Raw genomic sequence first — 10,758 nt, 5'->3', positions numbered from 1 at the left:
ATTATGAGAACAGCATGTGGGAATCCACCCCTGTGATTCAGTTCCCTCTGACTGGTCCTGCCCTTGAGGTGGGGACTATGAGGATTACAATTCAAGGTGAGATTTGGGTGGGAACACAGAACCAAACCATATCATTCCTTACCTGGACCCTGCCAAATCTCATGTCCTTACATTTCAAAATGCAATCATGTTCTTCCAACAGTCCCCCCAAAGTCTTAACTCATTCCAGCATTAACCCAAAAGTTCAAGTCCAAAGTCTCATCTGGCACAAGGCAAGTCCTTTCCACCTATGAGCCTGTAAAATCAAAAGCAAGTTAATTACTTCTTAAATACAATGGGCTTACAGGCATTGGGTGAATGCATCTGTTCCAAATGGGAAAAACTGGCCAAAACAAAGCCCCATCCAAGTCCAAAATCCAATAGAGCAGTCATTAAACCTTAAAGTTTCAAAATGATCTCCTTTGACTCCATGTCTTACAAACAGGTCACACTGATGCAAGAGGGGGCTCCCACAGCCTTGGGCAGCTCCACCTCTGTGGCTTTTCAGGGTACAGCCTCACTACTAGCTGCTTTCACAGACTGGTGTTGAGTGTCTGGCTTTTCCAGGTGCACGGTGTAAGCTGTCAGTGAATCTACCATTCTAGGATCTGCAGTATGTTGGCCCTCTTCTCACAGCTCCACTAGGCAGTGCCCCAGTGGGGACTCTTTATGGTGGCTCCAACCCCATATTTCCCTTCTGTACTGCTCTAGCAGAGGTTCTCCATCTGTGCTCCACTCCTGCAGCAGACTTCTGTCTGGACATCCAGGCATTTCCATACATCATCTGAAATCTAGGTGGAGGTTCCCAAACCTCAATTCTTGGCTTATGTGCACCCACAGGACCAACACCATGTGGAAGCCGCAAGGCTGAGGGCTTGCACCTTCTGAAGCAACAGCCTGAGCTGTACCTTGGCCCTTTTTAGTCACAACTACGCTAAAGCAGCTGGGACACTGGGAACCATGTTGTGAGGCTACATAGAGCAGGGGGACCCTGGACCTGGCCCACAAAACCGTTTTTCCCTCTTAGACCTCTGGGCCTGTGATGGGAGGGGCTGCCATGAAGGTCTCTGACATGCCTTGGAGACATTTTCCCCATTGTCTTGGTGATTAACATTTGGCTCCTGGCTATATAAGCAAATTTCTGCAGCCAGCTTGAATTTATCCCCAGAAAATGGGTTTTTCTTTTTTATCATATTGTCAGGCTGAAACGTTTCCAAAATTTTATGCTCTGCTTCTTCTTGTATGCTTTGACACTTAGAAATTTATTCTGCCAGATACCCTAAATCATCTCTCTCAAGTTAAAATTTCCACAGATCTTAGGACAGGGCAAAATGCCACCAGTCTCTTTGCTAAAGCATCACAAGAATAATCTTTACTCCAGCTCCCAACAAGTTCCTCATCTCTATCTGAGACCACCTCAGTCTGGACTTCATTGTCTGTATTGCTATCAGCATTTTGATTAAAGCCATCCAACAAGTCTCTAGGAAGTACCAAACCTTTCCACATCTTCCTGTCTTCTGAGCCCTTCAAGTCTCTAGGAAGTTACAAACTTTCCCATACTTTTCTCTCTCCTTCTGAGCCCTCCAAACTTTGCCAATCTCTGTCTGTTACCCAGGTTCAAAGTTGCTTCCACATTTTAGGGTGCACTTATAGCAGCACCGCACTACCTCAGTACCAATTTACTGTATTTGTCCCTTCTCAGGCTGGTAATAAAGACATACCTGAGACTGGGTAATTTATAGAGGAAAGAGGTTTATTTGACTCACAGTTCAGCATGGCTGGGGAGGCCTCAGGCAATTTACAATCATGGCAGAAGGTGAAGGGGAAGAAAGCACCTTCTTCACAAGGCATCAGGAAGGAGAAATGCAAGCAGGGGAAATGCCAGATGCTTATAAAACCATCAGCTCTCATGAGATTCATTCATTGTCACAAGAACAGCATGGAGGACACCACACCCTGATTTAATTACCTCTATCTGGTTATGCCCTTGACACTTGAGGACTATGGGGAATACAATTCAAGGTGAGATTTGGGTGGGAACACAGAGCCAAACCATACCAGATCCCTAAGCTGTCATATTAGACATCTGAGCACCCTGCTGGACAGACCACATGTGAAGGATATGAGTCCTCATAGTGATGGAGAGTGACACTCCTGGGCACAGCTTTCCAGCTATTTCTGCCAAGGCACCTGAGATGTGAGTTAAGTCATTTTTGAGCCCCCAGACTAACTTAACTGCCAGCTGAATACTACTAAGTAACCCAATTTGATGCCATATAGGACAGAAAACTCATCTAGCTAAACTGGAACTGAATTTCTTGCCTTTAGATCCTGAATATAATACAGTGATTATTGTTTTAGACTACCAAGTTTGGTGTGCTTTGTAATGCAGTAAATAACCAGAACAGATTCTAGTTCTACTCATGGGCTTAGACTGTCATGTTTGCTTTTCTTTCCTAAACAATTTCTTTCCTAAACAGAAAGAATAAAACAACTATAAACAAAGCAAATGATCAGGTCTTCTGCCAATTTACCAAGGGAAAGAAAAGTTTGCAGCTGGCAATGAAATGTCAGATCCTCAATGCTTGTATATGCCTTGGTCCAATAGAGTATCCTGAAATGAAAGCAGTTAGAAAATCCAACAAGTATTAAATAAAGGTGCTGACAGAGGTAGCAGAAGACCTCATAATTAGGGACTTCTTTCAGGACACTGATCGGGGAGCACAACATTTTTCACGACAGGTTTAATATATGCTGAAACAATTTAAACAACCAAATTTATTCTTTTGTTTTATCCCACTTATTGACAATTTGTATGACTTTATTCTTGAGATTAAGTCTATGCTGATGGGGGTGGCCCAAATTTTACGATATGTCTATATTTCATTTATGGATGATCTGACAATTACATTGCTTGTAATCAGTAAAACTGAACAAAAGGAATATTTCATATAGAAAGAGTTTAATAATAATTCTTTTATCCATAGTACAATTTTCCTGTGACTGAATACCTGAAATAAAAAGAAATTGAAATACAAATGACAACCAATAAAATGTTGTGTGCATGAATCAGTGATGCTTGCAAGAGACTCTGAAAAGCCAAACATACCTGACAACTAAAGTAAGGCTGTGAAGAGGAAGCTCCTAGAAAAGTGTATGTGAAGTGCAGTCTCTAGAGAAGCTGCTTCTTTTGTGTAGCTACCCCCAAGTGAGTTCACAGCCAAGTGCCTGCTGGTAAATCTGGGGCTGCTTTGAGCAGCAAGACCAACAGTTGAGAAGGGAAACAGAGCAGACCAAGGACTAACTGAGACCCTCTGGCAACTCTAGGTGTGTCACTATGTTTGAATATTATGACCTTCTGAGACAATGGCTTTTTGTTTCCTTTTCACCTTTCAAATATCTCCCAATTCCTCTTTTGGTCAGTTAGAACTTAGAATCTTACAGGGTATGAGGTTCTGAGAAAATATTTTCCAGCCTTTTTCCAGTTAACATTACACAGTCCAGGACCATGCGCCATATAAATGTAGGTATTTTGAAGATAGCCAGTTCTTTTCTGGCTGAAACACTTAAGACGTCAGGGGCTTCTCCTCACACCCTTCCTATACAGGAGGTCAGTGATAAAAAGTAGAGAAGAGACTAGTTATATTTACAGGTTAAAATATGTTAAGGATAAAATTTACATGTTTATGATGTCTGCTAGCCTCAGTGTTCCATACCACACCTAAATCAAAGATATTAGACTTCACTAATGTTGGTGCAGATTATACTTCCTTACACATTATAACATTTCCTCTCAAGTAAGCACTGCTGTCACATTTCAACCATAGTCCATAAGATTCAGAGGGATTTTATCTTTAATTTGGAGGTGCCTGTACTCAAGGTAATCTTATATTTTTTCTCATTTAGTGACCTGATCTAAATCTTGCAAATTGCAAATTCTTGAGTTCTTGCTGCATGTAGCACCTATTTCTAGCTAGAAAAATTAGTACTCCAAAATATCACCTTCCCAATATCTAAGACCAGACCATGACAAAGATTATACATATCCTAAAATCTCAGCTTTATCCGATTCTCCAATCACAAGAGGATGATAAGATGAAAGAACATTCAGGATAGAAAAAAATCACAAGAGTTTTTTAGGAAATCAAGGAGAAGGGCAGCCAGGGCCAGTTATAGCTGGACTGAAGAATTGGACACTGGGTGTCAAGTAGAGCTCGTTTCTAATTTTCTCAATTGATTCCCCGAGACCCACTTAAACAGAACCTGACAGAAAAAAGTATAACTTTATGAATGTGGCTGGAAGTTAAAACTTGTCAAATAAAGAGTGACATTGATTGAGAGAGAAAGGTTATTTTAAGGCTTGTGAAAAATCCCTGGAGGACACCTAGAATTTTGCAAATATAATATTGTCAAGTCATTTCAGACAGGAATAAAAACATTTCATTTATATATATATTTTAATTTTGACCTTCTAAACCACTCTGAATTGCATTGGTTTACTTGGACACAAAGGGTACTCTTTGGACCTCACTCCACTTCTAAGTAAGAATGTTTGTTGTATTGACTAAGACCTTAGGCGATCCTCCACTTTTCTGCCCATGGGATGAGACTTTTTCTATCTCCAATTTTTCTCCTATAGGATGTAGGATTTTCACAATATCTATTCTACTCTATCTTCAGAGAGAGTGTAAATCTTCTTAAAAGAACTAGAATGATCATTTAAAGCTTTGCATTTAGTTACACAGTGATTCAAATACAGACAGTGACTTCCTTATCAGTGATCCTTAATTTTGACTTAGATTTTGGGTCTATAGGAGACATTTTTGTGTCTGTGTTCAGGCAGTCCCAGATTTCTCTGATGAGACTGATGGAAAAGGCATTGACTTGCATCAATTGTGATGATAGGTTTTATGACTGGACTGAGATCAGAAATTCATTTTACAGACCACTGAACAATTACTAAATGCCTGCTCACCTCAGTTTCCAACCATTCACCAATAATTTTAGTCCTGGGGTGGATTTTATGAATACTGGTCAAATGCTACAAGAGTGGAAATTCAAATTATTTGAAAAAGCAGGATGATTTTGCTTTGACATGTGACCTTACTGTCCTCTGGATTTCCTTTTCAATTTGTTTGTTTTACATTTTATTTGTAATCCACTAATTTCACATTAACACTCTTACTACCATTTTAAATGAAGGAATTTATAATGGATTTAACTAAAATTCAAATATAGATTAATTTACCATAAATTTTATTTTCTCCACTCTGATATTCCCATTTCTTATATGTTTAAACTATAAAAAAGCAAAACATCCTCCACAGCTAGCATTTAATAGAGACTTTAAATGTAATATGTTTCAAATAATTGTAGAGATATTTAAAATTATTCCATATAAATTTTTACCTTCTTTGTGAATCACAACATGACCAACAGCTAAATTTGAATTATAAAATATGTTGACAAATTAGTGATGATAGTCTAAATTGCCTCCTAAATTTCAGTGATTTAGAAAGCAAGAAAGTTATTTGTGTGTGTGTATGTGCATGTGTGTGTGTCTGTGTGTGTGTGTGCATGTGTGTTGTGTTAACAGTCTAGCATTTTATGCTAGCTTCTCACAGTTGTTCAGCATGCCAGACTGCCACAAATAACATTTGTTTCTCAAGATGCTGGTAAGTTCAATCAACTGGAAGGGGTAGAAAGTATGAAGGGATCTATTGAAAAGAGTATAGAGAAATGTTAGAAGAAAGAAAAGAGTTAAGAACAAGATAATTCATGAATGGAAAAATATGTATGTCAGAAGGTTCCCTGTTAGGACCTTTGATTTCAAATGACAGAAACCTAACTCAGAATGGCTAAGAGAAGAATGGGAGTGTATTAGCTTATGGATTTAAAATGCCCTGGGAAAGACCAAGTTCAGAGTGGCCAAAAACATAGGCTCAATGGGCATCATGCACCCTCACTTTCTGCCCTGAGTTCTGCTTTTCTCCACATTGGCTTCACTCTTAGTAGGCTCTCTACTTGTTATTGCCTCCATCATTGCTGGGGCAACATCCTCACAGTGTGAAGAATTACATAAAAGAGAACATATGTCTTATTATTATTTTAAAAATCTTACCATTTAGTGTCTCTAGCTCTGAATAACCAGATTTATACCACGTCTTCATCTCTGCAGTCAGGGGCTATATTAATATTTTAATTCTATCAAAACTACCTAAAAAGAGACTGATACAGGGAGGTTTTCAAGAAATTGAAATTCACTTACCTTATGAAAACATATTTCATGCAGTCATAATCATCAAATATTCACTAAATATGAGGAAAAACTCATATTTGTCAAGTAATAGATTAACTCTTTAATGTGGAAGTTTTCCTATTGAGTTTTTTTTAGTCAACATAGTGGTTTTTAAATTATGGATTCACTTATCCTTAGTCATGATTAATCACCTCTTTATGTTTGAAGAACATCCTACTATCTAGATTTTGATGTGAAATTATCTAATTTTCAAGACATGGCCTAGGCCACAGCAAAACACCTGTAAGAGTTGATTTTGCCCCCTTAGACTACGATTACGCTATGTATCCCCTAAACTCATCAAGAAAATTAGTTAGAAATTTTTCCTAAAATAGAAGGTGTTGAAGGCTGGTAGTTCTGGGTAACAGATATGAAGATTACTCAAACTGAAGGAAAATGAGATAGTTTCTCAAAGACGTAGAGTGGTACCAATCTTGTCATCAGTATATTAAAGGCTGAAGAGCTTGGATGGGAGTAGGTGGGGAATACCAATGACTATTTAGACCTGAGAACTGAAATCTTGGGATGTTGGCAAAAATTTATGTAGCAAGCTTTCAGCACAAGTTCTGGAGACTTCTCCCTACTGAATAAAAGTTAACTGCACCTGTATGGTGGTGTGGCCAAGGAGCCTTAGCAAAAGCAACAGCTATTAACCGAGAGCCAGCAGCTGCCATTTTTCATGGGCTATGACAATTGCAGCTTTCTAGTAAAACTCAAGGGAAGGAGAGAAAAACCAAGAAAAATAATTAATACAGTATTGGACCTAATGATAATATTGGTAAGTAAAGAATTTGAGCGAAACTTTTCTTTATATGACATTTTTTATCTTAGATATGTCATGGAACATTCATTCTTATTACATTGGCACAGATCAGACATCTGAGGATGGCATACTGATAGATCAGGTACCACTCCAGTGCTCAGTGCTAACAGCACCAGGCAAGGAACAACACACAAATGACTGAAAAGGATAGAACAGATGAAAGTGTGAAATGAAATACAAATCACAGGAATAATGAGATAGACAATGTTTTTAATAGTTCCAAACAAACTAAATAAGTGATCCCTGAAGTTTAGGAAGCCATGACAATGTTAATAGCAGGAAAAAAATTAACAGTAAGAAGATTATCCATTATGTGGCCCTAAAACAATCCATTTAGTGTAGACTGCCTGAGATGAGTGACATCCCCAAGAGACATACTGGCCTCTTCTACTAATGAGGAGCTTTATTCTACTTTGTTTGGAAAGGCATGTTATTTCATTTCTCTGGAATTACTCAGGGCCAAGTTGCTATAAACACACTCAAATCACCATTGCACACTAGTTAATGACACCTCTGCCTGACACAGGCCTGCCTCCCAGACCTTACACACCTTCTATATCAGAAAGCAAAAGAAAATCATTAGAGTTAATTTTTTCACCTGCTTTAAACCCCCACTAAGTGATAAATGCCATGTTCACAGGAGAAAAGATTGGGGTGGGCATGAGGGTGGGAAATGTGTTGCCTCAATAATTGTCTAGTTTTAAGCCATTCACAAAGAACATATAGCGAGTTTTATTTTTTTTCCCTCTCTCATTTGTTTCTCTCTTTCCCATTCACAACAAAGAAATTTTCATCAACATTAGTGCTTTCTGATTATAGGTAAGAAAAGAAAACACAGACTATAAATTTTATACTTGGAAGGGCATACTTATAACTTCATAAAATGACATAATAGTAAAAAGATATGCCAATACGTAGAACATTCTAGAATAAAATACACACATAGAAATAGATAAAAATATGTGTCTTTTTGAAATATCCTTATTAATTTTTCAAAACGGGAATAAGAAATATGTATAATATTTAAATAAAACTATTATGTAGAAATCAAATTACATTAAAATAATCATACTATGTTTTATATTTACTTTTGTTATAAATTAATTAAATAAGTTATGATTAAATCACTTCCAATGTAGGTAATATCAATCTAGGTTTTTTGAAATTAAGGTTCATTTAGAGCTATAAATTAGGAAATATAATCCAGCTATTTAAGGAATATAGAAATCAATGTGTGATATATGTGATTTTGTACTCATGAAGAAATATGTGTTTTTAACATAAAGGTCTCAATAGTTATGTTGATATAAAATATTGTTTATTTTTTAAATTAAAATGAAAAATGCCATCTTCTATCTTCAAACGTGTTAACATTTTATTTGTTGGAAAACTGAATGTTGCCTTTCATTTATCTTCCTGGACAATGATCATGACTGTTGACATCTGCCAGCAGTACCAGTACAGTTATGTGATGCTCTCATTTTCCTACCTGGCAAAACTGCCATTGTTTCTCAGCATGGATTTGTGGAATTAGTGAAAGAATTTAGGATAGAGCCTATATCTGGCATATTTAGGAAAAAAAGACTTATGCATAGTTTCAATTCTGAATCTTGACTGAACAAGGGATCAGATGTGAAGTAACAGGTCAGGTTGATTTGAAAATTACATTTTGGAATTTTTTTTTTGTTTTAGTTATTAGAGAAAACACATTTTGTCTTACATATTTTTAAAAAACCAACCTTTTCAATATCACTTCACATTACTTGCTTTTTAATTTTTTCTTTGGTAGCCCAGTCAAAAGAGTTGAGTTTTCAAGCCAATAAAAAATGTAAAACGTCATAGTTTGTATGTATTAGTGGCCTTTTTTTTTTCTTTTTTACCACATCCAGACTTAAACTACTGCCATCTTGAGGAAGGAAAACCAGCTGTGTTGTTAAATTGCTGCCCCGCTTTGTCCTTTGTGAAGAACATGGCTATGAGCAGCCAAGCACCATTGTGACTTAAGTGCACTCGGAGATCATCTAAACTTGGCTTAATCTTTTCTCTATTTTCCACAGTCTGTTTAATAATCATTACCATTGACATTCATACTTTCCTTCCTGTTTGTTAGGGCTTGATCTGACCTCCCTAAAACCAGTGCTGACCATTATAATACCATCAGTAAGAGCTCCCACCTGGCTGTTTAAGGGATTAACTATCTGTGCTGCACATTGAAGAGGGATTAGTTTAAGAACAATAAAGGAAAGAAGGAAACAATAATCTTTTGCCTGACAGAGCAGTCTAAGAAGGCTGAGTTACTTTAATGAGCTTCTGAAGAAATCTCTCACCAACTTTTAAACACGTATTAATCTGTTCTGGAAATACTGTAGAATGTATGTATTTGTATTCCATGCCATTTTCTAATCTTGATGGAATTTGAGTTAGTCTGTTTTGCTAAGATAACAATGTGCCAGGTAGAAAACAAATTCCAGTTTATCAAGGAGATATTTATTAGTAAGATTTATTGTAAGGGAATAGAGGGACTATAATAAGGGATGGAGGACAGCTGCCATAGGGAGAACTCTCTAGACACAAGATCTGCAAGAGTCTGAAGGGTTAGGGAAACCAAATTATTTTATAAAGAGGAGTAAACAAGACTAAAAAGAATGGGGCATGAGGAAAAGAGGTAGAAAGGTAGAGTGATACGATAATAGATCATAGAATGCTTTACTCTTCCAGAAAGCTCCTAGAACTGACAAAATAATTCAGCAAAGTTTATTGATACAAAATTAATGTACACAAATCAGTAGCTCTTCTATATACCAACAGCAACCAAGCTGAGAATCAAATCAAGAACTCAACCCCTTTTACAATAGCTGCAAAAAAATAAAATACTTAGGCATATACCTAACAAAGGAGGTGAATGACCTCTACAGGGAAATTAAAAAACACTGCTGAAAGGAGTCATATATGACACAAACAAATGGATATACATCCCATGCTCATGGATTGGTAGAATCAATATTGTGAAAATAACCATTCTGCCAAAATCAATCTACAAATTCAATACAATTCCCATGAAAATACCACCATCATTCTTCACAGAACTAGAAAAGACAATCCTAAAATTCATATGGAACCAAAAAAGAGCCTGCATGAGCCAAAGTAAGGCTAAGCAAAAAAATAAAAAATAAAAATCTGGAGACATTACATTACCAGATATCAAACTATACTATGAGGCCACAGTCACCAAAACAGCATGATACTGGTATAAAAATAGGCACATAGACCAATGGAACAGAATAGAGAACTCAGAATAAACCCAAATATTTACAGCCAACTAATCTTCAACAAAGCAAACAAAAACATAAAGTTGGGAAAGGATACCCTATTCAACAAATGGTGCTGGGATAATTGGCAAGCCACATGTAGGAGAATGAAACTGGATCCTCATCTCTTACCTTATACAAAAATCTACTCATGATGGATCAAGGACTTAAATCTATGACCTGAAAATATAAAAATTCTAGAAGATAATATTGGAAAAACCCTTCTAGATATTGGCTTAGGTAAGGATTTCATGACCAAGAATCCAAAAGCAAATGCAATCTAAACAAAG

Source organism: Homo sapiens, chromosome 13 (assembly GCF_000001405.40).
Source record: "Homo sapiens chromosome 13, GRCh38.p14 Primary Assembly".
In the NCBI taxonomy this organism is placed as follows: Eukaryota; Metazoa; Chordata; class Mammalia; order Primates; family Hominidae; genus Homo; species Homo sapiens.
Note: the sequence above shows the minus strand (reverse complement) of the source record.